Genomic DNA, 19,830 nt, shown 5'->3' on the forward strand with positions numbered 1-19,830 from the left:
TTTTCCAGCAAAGAGCAGACTGAAAAATTGAGCTGCAGACATAGATAAGCAAGCTGGAAGCTTGCTCGGGGGAATGCCAGCAGCTGTGCGGAGAGAAAAGGGCTACCTAGGAGCCAGGCATGTTCAACATGGAGGCTCTGTCTTCCCTTTTCTTTGTCACCACATGTACAGTAAAGAACTAGGCAACGTGGCACTAGCCAGGTAGAGAACCCATCTGCATAACAAAAGATTAGGGTGGTATGGCCAGATTTTCACAAACTGTGCAAATGGCACACCTAGCCCTAACCAGTTTTTCGCACCTTATGCAAACAGTACACCTGGTCTGACCAATCTTTTGTGCCCTGTGTAAATCAGACATCACCTCCTCAAGCTTATCTATAAAACCTGCTGCATTTCACTGCAGAAGCAGAAACCCATTCGGGTGCCCTCTCTCTGCAGGAGAGCCTTTCTCTTTCTTTTGCCTATTAAACCTCCGTTCTTAACCTCACTCCCTGTGTGTCTGCATCCTTGATTTCCTCAGCATGGGAAAAGGAACCTTGGGGTTCATTATCCCAGACAATGACGCCACTTCAAGAGTATGTCTGTTTTTCTGTTTCCCTGTTCTTAATACAGCTATGTTACTTTTCCACCTATATGTACCATAATTTTTTAGTTCACTGTAAATTTATTATTTTGTGATATCTTTTCTTTTTTATTCTACTCTCTGTGAATCTTAATCAAAAAATAGATTTTATTCTCATTTTTTTCTTGTACTTTCTCCCCATCTTCTACATATGCCCTGAAGAATCTATTTCATTGATTTCTTTTACCCTATAGCTACTTATTTTGCAAAAGAAGAAGTTTGTTTTCTTGAAAAAAGTTATTGTCTGTTTTCAACTTATCCCTCTTTTACTTTGGAGCTAAATACCTGGGGAGGCAAGTCCAGGCTTTATCTTAATCATTCTGAATAATGTCATAAAAGAAGAAAATGGTTTTTTGTAGACAGCATATGACAAAAAAATTTTTTGCTCTTCTCCAAATTCTAGAGATTTAGACCAGCACTATATGAACTCACGGGACTGGCAGATGAACAATGGGTAAATGGCTTTATTCTCCACCCAATGAGGTTTATAGTTCAAAGGAGACTTAGACCACCAGTCTGCTCTCCATAGAGCAGCCATGATGGTGAGGTTGGAGCGTAAGCCAGGTCACAGAGCTCCTCCACTCTGAAGTCATCACAGAGTGTCCACACCTTTCAGAATAAAGCCCTCACATAATCTTCACCTTCCTGCTGAACTCTGATCTTCTTTTCTACAACTCCCTCCCTCATTCACTGCAGCCTTGCACACTGTCTTCCCCAGCCAGAAATGTTCTTTCCAAGGGATGCTTATTTGTAGTTCTTCCACTTCCTTTAGATCTTTTTTAAAAGTCATCTTCATAGGACTGTGTTAGCCATTCTATCCAAAATTTCTTTCTAAATTAATTTCTGATTGCTTCTGTAACAAATTACCACAAACCTACTGGCCTAAAACAACATAAACTTACTATCTTACAATTCTGGATGTAAGGAGGCCAACAAGGGGCAGGGCATGGGTAGAGCTGTGATTTTTTTCTAAATGCTGTTCATCCAGACAATGGCAGCACTCCCTGGCTCCTGACCTCCTTCTTCCTTCCTCTAAGGCAGTAGCAGATTAGCGTTTTCATATCTTTTTCTGACTCTGACCCTTCTGCTTCCTTCTTCTGCATACAAGAACCCTTGTGATTACACGGAGTCTACCCATATAATAAGAATAATCACCTCATCTCCACTATATGTGATTAGAACCTTAATTCTTCTTTGCCATGTAATATAACATATTCACAGGTCCTGGGGTTTAGGACATGGACATACTTGGGCAATCACTGTTCTGTCTAGCATACATACTCTTCCTTAATATTTCATATTTCTTTCTCTAACATTCTCTCCTTAGTCTTTAAGCTATTGAAAACACTATATATTTCCCGTATTTATTCTGTTTGTTTTATGTTTCCTCAAATTGAATGTATGTTGCTGAAGGCAGGGACTTTTGTCTTTACTTTCTTCTTCCCTGGAAAATGGCTAGCTAGAAGAATACCAGGCATATAGTAGGCACTCAATAAATATTAGTAAAATAAATAAAGTAGTGCATAATGCTAGCTGAGGTAACACATGGCAAATAAGTGTTTATCCTTCAGGAGAGATTATGATGTAACATAGTTCTTGTAATCTTCATCATTATTGACCCAAATACTCATGATGTAATTTTGAAGAAGGTGGGGTTATTAGTATTTACCTAGGGGTATTATAGCTATTGTATCATGAAAATGTTTTTGATTAGACCTGAAAGAGATCTCTCCTAGTTAAACATAGACTCCAGTGTGAACCAAGTCATTGTTAATTGTTTTTAATAAAGATTTGGAGGAAACATTAAAAACAGTATTTTAATGCACAAATATGTTAGAGATAGCTAATAAGGTGAAGGATAAAAAAGAGTAATGATAGTACTCAAAACGTAACTTCAGCAGTGAGAATATAAGTTTCTGTTTTCAATTCCATAGCTCAGTTACATTACAGTTATGAGAGAGCAGATTTTGCATTATTTTATGTGCAAAGTTACTGAGTTTCATTTCATTTTAGTGTTAAATTAGCCTAAAATGTAAAATGGATTTTTTAAAAATACTAGTACATTCTTGAATAATATTTATTCAAATGTTATGTTCATCATTGCATTTGTATATGATTTTTTAAATTTTTTGCTAATGTGTTTGAAAGACAAGAAGAGTTATCAGGTTATCTTCAGTAAGAAATTTAGGGGCCATATTGTCCAACTTCTTAACTGTATCATGTCTTAACTCTCCTATAGGACTTATGAGCCACTTCCTCCAGGAGTTCTTTCTTCCAGAAGCTCTCATCCCTTCAATCAGTCTAGTGTCCCATAGTAGCATCAGAGGATTATATACCAGAAAACTCACATATAATCTTCTGAAGACCTGATGAGCTCCCCCTACTAGATAGGGATCTACTTGATGATCTACTTGATTCATCTTAGTCTCCCAATAGCAAAGGACCTGTCAGGTCGTATGTTATAGATACATGTGCATCAAATGACATAATCAAATCCAACACCACCAGTTCATTACTCATCATCTGCTTTAACCCATCCAGTAATGTGAAACTCACAATCTAATGAGTTATCATTCTTATATATGGTATTATTCTTATCTTTTTTCTACATATGTATATATATGAAACCAGAATTCTTTCTTCCTGTAACTCACACTATGTATTGATAGCTCTTTTCCTCTCAAGCAGCACAGAATACATCTAGTTCCTCTTCTACATGACAGCTCTACAACTTGCTAAAGGCATATATCACATCCCTCCGGAATATTTTCCTTTCAAGCCCAAACATCCTTAGTTATTTTTGCTGATGTGTTCATCTCATGATTTCTAAAATAAAGCAAATGGAACTCACCCAGAATCTACCTGAAGTCTGACAATGCAGAATACAAGAAAATGATTGCCTGCAGTGCATTCCTGGGCATGGAATTTACTACACGATCATAATATTACAAAATAGGTAATAATATGTGCTGTTTTATCTTAATAATTATTTATTTCCTTGACACAGTTTTCTTTCCTTATATTTATTAGCGTCTATTGATTTCCTTGCCTTTGCTATCCCATAATCAATTCTTGCCTTAATGCTTCCTGGCAACTTATTTATTCTGGCAAAAAGTATTAAAAGAGTGACTTCATTGTGTTGGAAAAGACTCTTTTATTTTGCCCTTAAAGAAAGAAGATATAATTTATTTCACCAGTACCAACTGAGGTGTCTTACTCAGTTCTACAGATTTTATTCTGAATTAATATCAAAAGAATGCTCTATCCCCATGTGACCCAGCAATCCCTTTTCTGGGTCTATACCCAAAGGAAATGAAATTATCGCCTCATAAAGACATGTGCACTTTCATGTTTATTGCAACATTATTCCCAATAGTCAATATATGAAAACAAAGTAGTTGTTCATCAGTGGGCAAACAGAATAAGAAACTGTGGTATACACATATAATGGAATACTATTCAACCTTAAAAAAGGAGATCCTGCCATTTGCTACAACATGGATAGGCCTGGGGGACAGTGTTCTAAGTGAAATAAGCCAGGCATATAAATAAAAATATTGTGTGATCTTATTTATATGTGGAATCTAAAAAAAGAGGTAACACATGTAAAGAATAAAAGAAAGATTATAAGGGTCAGGGTATGGGAGAGAAAATGGGGAGATGTAGGTCAAAGGATACAAAATAGCAAAAATACAAGATAAACAAGTTAAAAGATCTAATATACAACATGAGGACTAGAGTTAATAATAGTGTATTGTACTTTGGATTTTTGCTAAACGAGTAGATTATAACTTTCTTTGCCATGAGGAGGAGCCAGGGGTAGTTGGGGGAGAATGAATAAGTAAGATGATGGGTATGTTAATTTGTTCTACTATAGAAACCATTTATATGTGTGTGTGTATCTCTTATGACAGCATGTTATATATGTGATATACAAAATAAATTTTTAAAATAATGTTCAAGTCATAAGCCTAAGTATGTCTATAGTATCATAAAGTGTTAGCTCAAAATATAGAGTTATTGGCCCAAGCTTTAATTTTAATATGAAGCTTTTATAACACCAACATATTTTAGAAGACATACAAGAATAATATCGGTCAAGCTATAGGAGGAGGTTTCGTTGGGAGATAGGCTTGAAGATAATTATCTCTGAATGAAAGGTCGATAGACTCAAGAGCAAAAGTCTTGGGAAAGTATCAGTCATGTGGGCAAACTTTATCATGTTTCCTTAAGCAGAATTTAGAACAGGATCACACAGCAAGAAATATCAGAACAGGAAATAAAAAACTTTTAAAGTATCTCATGCAACTCTATTCTCACTCAATTGTTTTTTTTAATATGAATTCTATAAATACATGTAGAAACATGTAAAATAAACATTTATAAAGGACGTATTTTTCACAATGCATGTAAATTAAGAGATACGGAGAGAAATGTTTTGGCTAGATGGTGTAATGGTTTGACAAAAGTGTAAACATACTTAATGCAACTGAATTGTACACTTAAAATGGTAAAAATTGTCAATTTTATATTGTGTATATTTTACCATGATAGGAAAAAAACAATTTCATAGATTAACAAGAGGATATTGAGGTAAAATAATATTGTAATGTGTTCTCAAGTAGAGCTCAGATCATTTAGAATACAGCATATCATTACCATATGATATGAAATATGGCAATACCTAGTTACTGAACTCAGACTAGTTATTTAGAATCATTTAGGGAAAATTTAAATACATTAACAGAATTTTAAGACTAAATTAAGACATAAGAGTTCATCATTTATACTAATATTTGTTTTCTTAAATGGAGTTACTCTATTATCAAAACTGTTGAGATGTTCAGCATCCTGATTTCAATCACTGAATTAAATATTATAATATTTTTGCTCTTGTTTAATGTTTTATAGATTATAGATGTTTATAAATATTTTATAAACATTAAGTGAAATAATTTATATAATAAAATAATACAATATGTTAATATAAAACATTTTAATGTTTTATAAATGTTAAGTATAATAAACATAATTGTTTAATGTTTTATAGTTGTAGCTACATTTTGAGTGTTTTAAATGTCATTTACTAATCATCTAAAGCATATAAATGAATGCATCTGGATTTTAACTCAGAGTAAATTATTTCATAGTTAAGGCAAACAATTGTCAAATACACTGATTTTAAAAGAACTATTATTTATTGGTTTATTTCATGGAATAAATGAGTTTATACTGTTTAGAATGTATCAATTTATATTGTTTAGAAATGAACTTGCCATATCCACTTAGATAGAGATGCTGGGAATGTTTGTCAAACAGCAGTGTCAATACAGAAATCTTTTTATTTTCTCATTTCAAATGAAACACAAAATGATCTCTGTATCTCTTCATAAATATTTAGGCACCAGAGGTTTTGATGAGACTTTTCTTTTCAGAATTGTTTTAAGCTGTTTTCTACACTCAAATGTGGAAAATTTCAGATAATATTAGTTTTTCATGCGTTTTATTTAATAACAGCAAAGAAATCATAAAGGGAAGCTATATGGCTGGAACAAATGGAGACTATTTCTGAGAAATTGCAATTATCCTTGATTTTTGATTTACTCTTATCTACCACAAGGTGATAAATTTGACAAAAAGTCTTCTTAATGGTTTCTGTGCATGAAGAACTAGTTTTCATTCTCTTAATGAAGTGCTTCATCATCCACTCTTTTCCTGCCTAGTGGTCTAAGGTACTGTTAATATCAAGACTTCTGTCTCCAGTGAAAATCAATGCTTCAAAAATCTATTACATAGCTTACGACAGAATTGTTTCACTCTTCGTTCTAAATAATAAACATTATATAAAATATAAATACAAAATTATAAAAGTTACATTACATATTCACGTACTGTATGGTAAAACAAACTTTTTAAACATACTAGAATAGGTTGAAAGTTGATATTGGCCAAGTGAAATCAAGGGAAGAGTATGTTTTTTGGTTCATAAAGTTGTTTGGTATTCATTTGACCATAAAAATTATATTTTTAACCCATCCTTTACGTTTAAATTTATCTTTGTTTGATTTTTATCTTGCTTTTTAAAGGTTAGATATGGTTTTATCCACAGTTATTTTACCAATATTAAATTCTTAATGCTAAATCCTTCATTCTAAGAGAATACTCACTCTTATTCTGAGTATATAAACTCACCTACTTTATAGAATTTATCATTGTAATCCAGTAAGTGACCTTTAATACTCTCTTTCTTCACCAATCTCTATACACCTACTTTTCTTATTCTTTTATTCCTCTTGTCTCTCAGGAGTGTTCTTCATAAGCTGAAGGGATCTAAGAGAACAGCATTGTCCATACTTCCATTTCTGGTCAGATTACCCATTATAGCAAACCTCAAAAGGATACATAACTATACAAGAAAAAAATAACCCATAGTGGCCCCATCTGATAAAATGAAATATTTTAGATAATTTCCTTTATTATTTTCATATATTCAGCCTATTGTCCAGGCCTTCTTAATTCCTCCGGAACACTGTAGGATCATAAACTTCATTGAACAACTTCCCCAATCTCTTTTTATTTTCAATTTACCCACCTTTTCTACAAAAATATATATAAGATTTTTTTCACAGCTAAAAAAAATCACAAAACTTCCTTTTAGATGATATTGCTAAACATTTTCTTATCTTTACTGCCATATTTCTTGAAAAAATCACTTGTATGGTAAGGTGTAATTTTCTCATCATGCACTCACTTTTAACATTTGACAGACTGGCTTTTATTCTCCAAAACTCTATCGAAATCAGAGGAGCTTCTTTGTCCTAAGCCATTCTGGATTCTCTTCAGTACCGATACTCCCTTCTTAGTGGAGTTCTCGAAGGACTGATGCTGTCCTTATTAAACTCTACCCTCTTTTCAGGTTTACATAACGGAGTGACTCCCTGTTTTAGTCCTTTAACTTTTTGATGACTTCTGGCCCCTATTGGCTTAATGAGGAGGATAAGAAATTAAGAGAGAATGGCAGGTTCAGTTGACAAAAAGTTTTGCAGATTTTGCACCTCAACTTTTGTTAAGAAACATCAGTAGACCTTAAGTTTCCAGGCAACATTAATACATAATTAATTGTTAATTAACTTATATCTAATTCGTATACCAGATTTTTACACATACCTCTCAGGAAGTATCAATTATAAAATGTTTAACTTATTTGAATGTATAGTGTCTGAAACGTATACTTCTCAAATGCATGTTGGTATTTAAAAATCAATTTACAAATTTAAAAGGTAACTTATTAGTTCCATATGAGAACAGTTTTCCATTATTTTAAGTTCACGTAATACATCATATTAAATTCAATTTGCAATATGTTCTAATGTAGTGTATAAGTATTGACAAAATAACCATCGTTGTGGGGTTTCTGCTTCAACTGTGACATGGAAGGCCTACTCTGATCATCGGTGAAGTGGTCGAGTCTTCTTAGCAAAGTATTCAACATTCAGATATTGATTGTTTAGAAATAGAGTGACCTCATTTATTTAAAAGGAAAGACAAAATATTCCACATGCATAGCCTCCTGCCCTTCCTATGCTACTCATATTGTATTTGAATTTGAAAACTGCTATTTTTCAATTAACAATGGGACTGGATTTGAAGATATAGGCAAACAAAATCAATGATTTTGGTATTGCAAGATTGTCAAGTCTCTCCTTTCTCCCACTATAAGCATAAGTCTCTATTAATCTAAACCAAGCATTAATAACCCTTATATATATAGCAATAGAAGCTCCAGGATGTTACCATGTATTGTTAAAGCCCAAAACTAAGTATAACTGAACCCATCCAATAAATATGAAATGAAAAGCTATTATAGCTGGAAGAATTTGTTTTAAAGTAGACTTTTGAAAATTTTAAATAAGACCAACATTGACTGCTTACCTAACAAATTTGAACTTTAGAAAGATATGTTAAAAGGTTTATTTTACACAAAGTTCACTTAAATGGAGATCGTTCTTCAGCAGCAAGGAAAGATCCCATCTTCTTTGCTTAATGCGCATCGCACTGAAGCTTTATGGCTATATTAGAATATGCAACTCCCCATGCCAAGATTTAATTAAAGTTTAAATATTTGAAGGGCTGGTGATAATGTTGCCTCTAATAAAAAATTTACCTGTCTTGGGATCAATAGAGAAATAAGGTTGTCCCTGAAGAATGCTGTAAACGACTCTGGCACTGTTTCCATAGGTCGGGTCATCTGCATCTGTGGCCTTGACCTGGAGTACATATGCACCTGGAAAATAAGACAATATCACTCTAGCATTTTTGTTTTACTACTTTCAAGGTCATGACTCTTATCTGCTGGACTCGATTTTCCTTTGGTATTTGACCTACGTCAAGTACACCATGAGTACATGATGTCACTGAGGATAGTTTAACCGTTATAACCAAAATGTTGAGCAATGATATAGTTAGTGCAAATCATAAGTTTAAATACGCATTTTAAAAGTTGTGTCCATTTCCAGGAGCTGGATCATCGAAATGAAAGTCATCATGATACCTTTATTGATTGGCACACCAAAGAAAGCATGGACACCACTTATATTAGCTCATCTGCTTACTATTGATGTTTTAATTTTATGATTAGGATATCAATAGAGAGGCTAAAAGGTTTAGAGTGTACTGAACATTAGAGGTTGTTAAGTAATTTGCAATTGCAATTTAAAAATTAACAACTACCTACTAGCATCAGGAAGTCTTTAATTAGAAAAGGAATATTTGAGAAATTGAGAAACCATAAATAATTGCAAAATAGTTATAAGAGCACTTCTTTGCCTCAAGATTGAATTAACCTAAAGATATAGTGACATAAGAAGACACCACAGTCAAATGATCTGCAGCTTTCCTAATTTTTTTTTGGCATGGGTATATTTTTTCTGTACTAAAAGAAGTTGAAGGGAGCTTTTCTTTGTATTTTCCTTATCTGTTCATAAGCATATTGAAATCAGTCTCTAAAAACTTTTAAAGTGAGTATCTCTTCCTAATATCCTGTTCAAGTTACTATTCTGAGTTCAGAACAAAGTGTAATCAAAAGTACCCAAATTGTAGCAAATAAAATAGACATATATATATATGTATGTGTATATATGTATATATATGTGTATATACACACATACACGTGTACATCCAAAGTTATGCAGTGAGCAGAACTCCCTTAATCTGCTGGAGGCACTCAAAGTAACTATTCTGTTTAGTGAAAATAGGATTGTTCCTTTTCATTCCATTACTCATTCAGCCTTTTCTCTAAGAGTACAAATTTGGAGCAAACCATGTCTTCCTAGATTACTATAGAAGCTAAAAGAATGAATTACTTTTTCATTTCTACCATTTTCTTTTAATAAAATGTTAGGGTTGTGACAAGAGTAAGAAACAATAACTTTTTGTAGACATTCAATGCCAAGGTCTTTCAGTTTAAAATGGTTGAGTGAATCTTGGCTATATTAACAGAGGAAAAATATATTACAGCAGCCTTTCCCAAGAAAAGAAACTTTTAGAGGGAACTTTTAGAGAGAATGTAGATAAACATTACTAGGAAGTCAGGAGTGAAGACTAATATTATCCATCATCATCACCATCATCATCATCAACATCATCACTATCATTAAACACAATTTGACCAATGTTTATTTCTACCCAGCATTGGGTATCTGTATTAAAGATTCATTAAAACTACCTTTCTATAATCCTGTAGAAATCAACAGTTTATTAAGAGTAAAGTCCTCTCTTCCCAACAGCATTTTCCCCCAGAATATTCATCAGGATGTTTTCTATCCCTCCACTATACATGTGTAATATAGGCAAAGTCTACAAATATTCACTACTGTCCTAATTCTGGATATAAATATTACAATTGAAAAACTATAAATTGTTCTACATGTTGGGTATATTTGAGGAAAATGAAAGTATTATACTTAGTCACAAATAGGAAATTAAAATATTTGAGAAATAAGAAATATTTAGTGAAAAACATTAATAAAATTTGCCAAACTAATACCGTATTGCAATTTATAGTCGGGAAAATAAAGATGAACACGTATTGTCTTTACTTTCACATTTTTGTTTTTAATGTTTACATGACCCTCCACTATGCTGAACAAATATGTTCTTCTAATAGTTGTATTAAATTGTTTATATTAATTATTTTTACAGCTCAAATATTTAAAGGAGTGAATTGGAAAATACTTCATTAATGCATCGAAGTTGCAAATATTTTTTCATAAAACCCCACTTTGTGCTACTTAAAAGGATCACTGGATAGCAAGAATAACTGCATTCCTATCATATTTCTTCAGCTGTATCTATAGAATTAAAAGTAATTGTCCACTGAATTACAGTATAGGTTAATCCTTCTTTAGTGAAAGAGCAGATTCCAATGTAAATTCTCCAAAAGTTCTTAAAGATTGCCTTTCTGGGTGTTTACAAGAATGGAACTAAACACCACGATAGCAGCTTCTTTGTCAGCTGCTTGATGACTGTCACCAAACTCATGCAAAAGACAGAGATTTCATACTCTTTCCATTAAGAAGTCTCGGTCAATTGCCTGGAGCATGCAAATCTCCGAGGACTACCTTTTTCAGTGCTTGGATAGCACACCAGCTGTTCCTGACACTATTAAACACTAAATACCCAGGAGGTAAGAGCAGGAGGTTGTGGTTGGGGCATGTTTAATGTGCCACAAGGAAATAATACAGTCAATGATTTGCACAGAATCTGAAGTAGTCTGGTATGTAGCAGTGAGCTTGAAATTTATTCTCTTATCATTTGAATCCAGGGATGACAATATAACCACTCTAAATGGTTATATCTGCAGAGAGAATGCAGCTCATAGAGAAAACACTCTTGTATAAGTGGTCAGGGCCAGAGTGCAGAATTTGCAATGGAGAGTATCAAGTCACTTCAAGTTCCCATATAACACTGCTTTGTTCAGTAACAAATTAGTGTATATTTAGTAACAAAGCCAGCAATAAAAGTTATTTTATAGTAATAACTATATTCTATATCTTATACTGTCACTCAAAGGGAATAAATATTTATAAAACTATGATAAAGCAAAGAACAGAGAAACTGATCATTGAGTATGACAGAACTATGACGAAGAGGCATCAGGAGATGCCCACATGATACAAACTCCAACTAAATAAGTGATCACTAACATTTAAATGACTATGAGTTAGAATTCACATGAGATCCGATTTGGATATTGTATTGGTCAGCTCAGGCTGCAATAACAAAATACCACAGGCTGGGTGTCCTAAACAATAGAAATCTACGTTCTCACAATTTTGGACACAGGAAGTTTGAGATCAAAGAGCAGAAAAATTGGGTTTCTGATGAGACCTCTCTTCCTGGCTTCTCACTGTGTTCTCCTATGCCCTTTCCTCTGTGCTCAGACAGAGAGAGGGAGAGAGGCAGAGACAGAGAGAGAGAGAGAGACAGAGAGAGGATCTCCTCTCTGTTGTATCTCCCTTTTTTTTTTAATAAGGTCACCACTTCTATTGGATTAGGACCCACCCTTAGGACTTCATTTAACCTTAATTACCACCTGAAAGGGTCTATCTCCAAATACAGTCACATTCATGGTTAGAGCTTCCACATATGAATTTCAGGAGGATTCAAGTCAGTTCATAACATATCATTTTAGTATACAGATATGTATATGTTAAACTATATGTGGAAATTTAACAACTTAGTAAAGCATAATTTATTTCTATGTTGTAAAATTATAGTCATAACATAATGTGATCTCAGTAATTCGCAAGCAAACATTCATATCATAATAAAACTCTGATAGACTTATTAAACAGGCATACATTACCTAGATGAATTAACTTAAATTTGAGTCAATATTTTTTGTCCAAATTATGTTGAAAACACTAATAAAAAGTATAATGTTTCACTTTTTAGATTCAATTTTGAGAATTCATACATATAATATCTTATATGGTCAGACAATACATTTGAGAATTCATACATGTAATGTCTTATATGGTCAGACAATACATTTACACAGACACAAATGCACAGAACGATTTAATAGTTTGTAATTACTCCACTCAAGTTAATGAGTATATGAAGTGCCAGGCACACTGTCCAAGGTGCTAGGGAAACACCTTGAACAAAATTGAGAGACCAACTCCTGAAATCTTATATCTTATCTAAAGGGGAATGGGAGGAGAAACAGATTCGAGGTGAGAGATTTTAGATGGTAATCAGGAAAAGCAATTTTGTAAAATTTCATTTATGTAGAGACCTGAATAATTTTTTGCACTTTCCTTTTCCCCCTAATTTATTTATTCTTTACTTGACAATATTGTATGTATTTCTTGTATAGAGCACGTTTTGAAATATGTATACATTGTGGAATGACTAAACTGAGCTAATTAACTTATGGATTCCCTTACATATGTATCCCTTTATGTAGTCAGAACACTTAAAATCTACTTTCCTAGCAATTTTCAAGAATACAATATATTCCTATTAGCTGGAGTCACCATGTTGTGTGCTAGATGTCCAGAATTTATTTCTCCTGTCTAACTGAAATTGTGTATACTTCGAGCAACATCTCCCTAGTCACTCAGTTTCCCCTAACCACCTGTATTAGTCTGTTCTCATACTGCTATGAAGAAATACCAGAGGCTGGGTCATTCATAAAGAAAAAAGGTTTAATTGACTCATAGTTGAGTATGGCTGGGAAGCCCTCAGGAAACTTACAATCAGGAGGGAAGGTGAAGGGGAAGAAAGGCACCTTCTTCACAGGGGAGCAGGAAGAAGAAGTGTCAAGCAAAGGGGAAAAAGCCCCTTATAAGAACATCAGATTTCATGAAAACCCACTCACTATCATGAGAACAGCATGGGGGAAACCGCCTCCATGATCTGATTACCTCCACCTGGTTCTGCCTTCAATCCAATCAGTTCTCCAGAAGGCTGTATATGCTCTGAATCAGTGTCCAATATATGGTACCATTTCTCGCATAGCCAGGATTCACCAGTCCAGAAATCAAAGGGTGGACACGGAACCACTCACCATCACCCCTAGTGATCCACTAGCAAACTTCTTGCTTCCTGTTTCTGCGACATTACATTCTGCTGGCCTAGTAGTCTTAGTTCCAGAGGGAGAAATGCTGACACCAGGAGATACAACAATGATTCCATTAAACTGGAAGTTAAGATTGCCACCTGGCCAGTTTGGGCTCCTGCTAACTCTAAGTTAACAGGCTAAGAAGGGAGTTACAGTGTTGGCTGGCATGATTGACCTGGATTATCAAGGTGAAATCAGTTTACTACTTCACGATGGAGGTAAAGAAGAGTATGTGTGGAATACAGGAAATCTCTTAGGGCATCTCTTAGTATTACCATGGCCTGTGATTAACATCAATGGGAAACTACAACCACCCAATCCAGGCAGACACAATTGGCCCGGACTCTTCAGAAATGAAGGTTTGGGTCACTCCACCAGGTAAAAAAAAAACATGACCTGCTGAGGTGCTTGCTGAAGAAAAAGGGAATACAGAATGGGTAGTAGAAGAAGGTCATCATCTATACCAGCCACGACCACGTGACTCGTTGCAGAAATGAGTACTGTAATTGTCATGAATACTTTTTCTTTATTTTGTTAAGAATATGTTTGTGCATGTATACATTTGTACTAAGAAAAATATCTTCATTTTCTTTATCATGTGACACAAGATTTATTGATTTCATATCAGCATTTAAGTGTTGTTAACTTTATGTAATAGCATTTAGGTTAAGGATTAGTGTGCTTCGGGTTGTATGAGGGATAACTGTATTAAGTTAGGTGTAATTATGACCTTATTGTTGTCTTTATTTGGGGATTATGTATGACTTCAGGAGTTGTGTATGGGTTCAAGTTGACAAGAGGTGGACTTGTGATGGTTAATATAGAGTGTCAACTTGATTAGATTGAAGGATGCAAATTATTTTTACTGGATGTGTCTGTGAGGTTGTTGCCAAAGGAGATTAACATTTGAGTCAGTGGACTGGGAGAAGCTCACTTGCTCTCAATCTGGGTGGGCACAATCTAATCAGCTGCCAGTGCAGCTAGAATAAAGCAGTCAGAATAAGGTGGAAGGAGCTGACTTGCTGAGTCTTCTGGCCCTCATCCGTCTCCTGTGCTAGATGCTTCCTGCCTTCAAATATCAGACTCCAAGTTCTTTGGCTTTTGGACTCTTGGACATACACCTGTGGTTTGTCAGGGGCTCTTAGGCCTTCAGTTACAGACTGAAGGCTGTACTGTTAGCTTCCCTGCATTTGAGGTTTTGGGACTTGAACTGGCTTCCTTGCTCTTTATCTTGCAGATGGCTGATTGTGGGACTTCACCTTGCGATCTTGTGAATCAATACTCCTTAATAAACCCCCCTTCATACATACATCGATCCATTAGTTCTGTCCCTGTAGAAAACCCTAATACACCACAATTCTACTCACTGCTTCTGTGAGTTTTAATTCCATGCAGAGGCAGCTCTGGGTGAAAAAGGTCCTGAAAGTGTTGAGGGAAACCTCAGGAATATCAGAGCCACCTTCACTGCGGATCAAAAATCAGATGGAAGAGGTGGCAGAGAAAATGGTCATGTATGACTTTTTAAGCCACTGTTAGGACTCCTGTGGGGTTTAACTACCCTTTCTACATTGATTTATTTTTATCTCATTATCTCTACCTATCTAGTATACTTACCCACTAACCTGTATTTCAGTTTTTATTAACATGAAAGAGATATAACTAACTACACATTAATTTTTCCCCAATACAAAACAGAAATTTAGTATACTTGCACACAATTTATACTTATTGTATGGTGCAATTGCATTAATTTAAAATTACATGAAAGCTTAACTAAAATAAAAATATACTGAGTGAGAATGTAACAAAGTGAGTAGTACTTTACAATTTGTAATGACGATTTGATTTACATAGTATTTTCATCTGTGATTAAATTTTGTTGTTTTCCAGTGTAATTTCTTGAACCTTATTTTATTCATTAAATATATTGAACAGGCATTTTATAAAAGCACATAAAAATCCATCTCACAATTTTTAACCAATTTCCTTTCAGCGGACACTTTGTTAAGAGGATTTTGTTTATTTCCTCTATTACAAACAATTCTGCTATTAGTAAATTCTTGCCATTGCCACAGCTGGATCAAAAAGCATATAGATTCAACATATTGAGCTGTATTGTCAAGGTGACTATCAGAAATTGTACTTCTTTACATTCCTATCAACAAGGTATATTTTCTAACATTCTCATCAGCCCATATCCTAATTATATGTATTTTTTATTTTATGCTTGAACTTTAACAGCATGTAGTTTTTGGTCATTTCTAGTGTGTGTGTGTGTGTGTGTGTGTGTGTATAAGCTGCACTCTTTCTTAACCCACTTTTTTCATGTATTATATCTGTGTCTATCTGTTGAAAGGTTAATTTACTAACTTATCTTTATTTGGTTTCATTTTTATGTGGTTATTTTAAATGGTTTTCTTTCGTGTGAATGTGTTTATATCTATGTGTGCATGTGTGGTATATACACCTTAACAACTATTATCCTTTAGTTGTGTTTGGTAAACTTATGTGGGTTTTATAGTTTAGTCTTCTGAATTTCTATACAATGAGTGTATGGGTTCTGAAGCCCAGACCAGGCAAGCCAGCTTAATTTCATGACATAACTACAGAGGGCTTGCTTCTGCTATTTTATGTATCATGTAATAATCATCTTTTATTTATTTGATTTAATTAAGACTAATAATATAAAGGCTTGGGATAAATTTTAAGAATCATCTGGCACAATGTTTCCATTTTACAATCCAATACTTGAAGGCCAGTGATGTTAAAATCATTCTTATTGGTACTTAAAGACATTCTCATCCAAAAGGTAGGAAGTTGAGAGTGGAACTGAGCCCCACTAAGTCACAGTTTCAGTTAAAGTAGTCATAGTTAATTCATTCATGTCTTCTTTCAATCAATTTTGTTAATTCATTCATGTCTTCTTTCAATCAATAAGTATTTACATTTGTATACTATGCACCAGATGCTACTTTCAATGAACAATATAAAAAGTATGTTACATAATTATTTATTTTGTAAAATGCTACTTCTAGCATGACAGTTTTGTATTCTAGGTATTATTTCCATTGGAAGTATTAAATAAACTTGCTAGGAAGACAGAAAATAGATAAATATAAGCAGATTATATTGAATATATGGCCTCTAGAAAATATTTTTAAGATTTTCCATATGTATAGGAATATTCTAGTAATTGCATGTGCTCTTGCTTTTTATCACTCTGCCATTGTCTTAACAGGTTGAGGTCCTCACCTTCTCACAATTGGAAAGCTGAAATGAATCCTGTCTGCCTTCTCCTTCAGCCCCTTCAGTTCCTTTAACATAGGAACATGGGAGTCTTTGAGCCAACTCACAAGATTGATCCTATTACTTTCATTGATTACAAAAATAAAATGGAAATAAACAAAACAGAACAAAAACACATAAAGCTCTAAGGGGTTTCTATCCCTATTTTTAAAAAATCATCTAAACTCATTGACATGTTCTGAACAGCGTGACATGAACAGATTTCAAATGTGCCTTGTAGATTAGATTCCAACTGTGCTGCCAGAGACCCCATGCTGTGACTACTCACACTTATTTACTGTTTATGATGAGGCTCTTTCATGCCTCTGCGGTCTTGAATAGGTGATTCTGCTACCTGGAGGACATTTGCCTCACCGTTGATGTCCAGGTCCATGTCACTTGTGTGAACTCTTTCATTTCTGATCTCAAACAGAGATAATTTGTTCACTCCTCTATAATCTCATCACACTTAGAATATTTTGAGCTTTCAAAACTCAGTACATGTTTTTTCTTACTATAGTAAAACAATTTTACACCAACAGCCTTATCATATTTATCTTTATACACCCAGCACCTAGCAGAGATCTGTCATTAAGTCCAAAATAAATGTTTATTGATTAGATATGTATAGTACTCACATAGACTTTTACACAGAAAAGACAGAAATACAATACACAGAATTCTGTAAAGAGTGACCTGGTAGCTGGTTATGATCTTTAGAGTCATTTTCAATACTAAATTGGGGGTTCTGCTGATATTGAATTTTCTAATGTACTTCACTGTTTTCAATTTAGAGAGTACAACCAAAAGTAAGCAGCATTACTTTAAGAAAAATCACATAGGCAAGAAGACTTAGCCAATTTATGGAATGCAAACCAGGAGAGTTAATGTAAATTTCTTTGCAGAATAACATGAACGTTTCTCAGAACTGATGCATGTAACAAAAAGAGAGAGATTTCATGTAGCAAATCAGTTTCTTTTTGCTTTTGTCTTGTGTATATACATTGCATTATGATCTAGAGATAAAACAGAATTAGGAAAATTATATTTTCTAATTCTTATTTCAGAATTATAAATATACTAAAGTTGCTTTCAAAATAAAAATGCAAAAGAAAATTGAAATTTATTTTCAAATAAAATTAAAAAATTGTACATTCTATTATATAAAAAAGGCATTATGCAGCAGAGAAATGTAAAACAGAAAGAATATGTGTGTGTGTGTGTGTGTGTGCATGTAAGATGCTACAAAGGAATGGAATACTATAAGACATTGAAACAAGGGTGTGCTAGCTAATTTTAAGTGTCAACTTGACTGAATTAAGGAATACCTAGAGAACTGGTAAAGCACTACTCCTCGATGTGTCTGTGAGGGTGTTTTCAGAGAAGATTGCATGTGAGTCAGTGGATTGGATGAGAAAGATCCACCCTTAGTGTGGGTAGATACCATACAATCAGTTGGAAGCCCAAATAGAACAACAATAACAAAAAGATGGAAGAAAAGCTATTTTCTCTTTTGCATGTACGTTCTCTCTTGCCCTTCTACCTTCCCTCATGGAATCATGCAGAAAGAGTGCCCATACTGGATGCAACTTCTCAATCTTGGACTGCCTGTCCTCCAGAACTATAGGTCAAATGAATTTCTCTTCATGATAAACTTCCCAGTCTTAGGTATTCTATTACAGGAGCACAAAACAGACTAATTGGTCAGAAAATTGATGCCAATTGGAGTTGTTGCTATAACAAACACCTGAAAATGTGAAAGTGACTTTGAAACTGCGTAATGGATGAGACTGGAAGAATTTAGAGGAACAAACTATGAAAAAACCTAGATCACCATGAACACAGTATTAAGAGAAATTCTGGTGAGGGCTCAGAAGAAAAGAAATGTAGGTAGAGTCTGATAGTTCTTAGAGAGTTTTTAAGTGGTTGTAATTGGAATGTTCATAGAAATATGAGCAGTAAGGGTTGTTCTTATGCAGTCTGAGATGGAACTTAAGAACAAGGTATTGGAAACTGGAATAAAGGTAGTCCTTGTCATACAGGATTATGAAATACAAACCAGAGGAGAGTTAATGTAAATTTCTTTGAAGAATGACATGAATCTTTTTCAGAACTGATGCATGACAAAAAAAGAGAGTGCTATTTCATGTTTCAAATAACTGGTAGAATTGTTTTCATATCCTAGGACTTTGTGGAAAGTAGAACTTAAGAGCAATGACCTAAGATACTCAGCAGAAGAAATATCTAAGCACCACAGCATTTAGTGTGCTGCATGGCTTCTTTAAGCCACTTGAAGTAAAATGAGAGAGGAGAGGATGATTTAAAGACAGAACTTAAAATTAAATTAAGGCAGAAAGTAAAATTTTTGAGTATTTTAGCCTAGCCATCTAATAAATGAAAAGTGTGTTTATGAGATCAAACTAAGGGGGTGGCCAAGCTACCCTTTGCTAAAGAGATTACTATGGAAAGAAGGGGGGCAGGTGCTATTCTTCAAAACACTGGTTGAAGGACTCAGAAGGCATTTCAGAGCACCTCAAGGCTTCCTTTGCCATCACAAGCCCAGTGCTCTGGGAGGGCAGAATGGTTTTCATGGATAGATCCAGAGTGCCCTCCACAGACTCACTGCTGAGAACTATCTAGGGACTCTGCTTCCCACATTCCAGCACAATGCTCTTCAGCCACCCCAGCCATGTCTCAAGTGGGCCCAGGGGAGCTTTGACCCACCACTCAGGAAGGTACAAGCTGTAAACCTTGGCTGTAGGGTGTTTATTCTGGAGGCATGCAGAGTGAGTGG

General features: G+C 34.4%; 1 protein-coding gene across 10 annotated transcripts in view; it reads right to left on the reverse strand.

Annotated features, from left to right (window-relative positions):
* CDH12 (cadherin 12) overlaps nucleotides 1-19,830 on the reverse strand; it is a 1,102,672-nt gene that overhangs the window by 95,212 nt on the left and 987,630 nt on the right. For 9 of the 10 annotated variants that reach the window (NM_001364104.2, NM_004061.5, NM_001364106.2 and 6 more), the window contains one exon: nucleotides 8,787-8,906. In NM_001364104.2, the coding sequence (NP_001351033.1) occupies nucleotides 8,787-8,906 (120 nt within the window). 10 annotated transcript variants of the gene reach the window in all.

The sequence above is a fragment of the Homo sapiens genome, chromosome 5 (genome assembly GCF_000001405.40).
Source record: "Homo sapiens chromosome 5, GRCh38.p14 Primary Assembly".
NCBI lineage: Eukaryota > Metazoa > Chordata > Mammalia > Primates > Hominidae > Homo > Homo sapiens.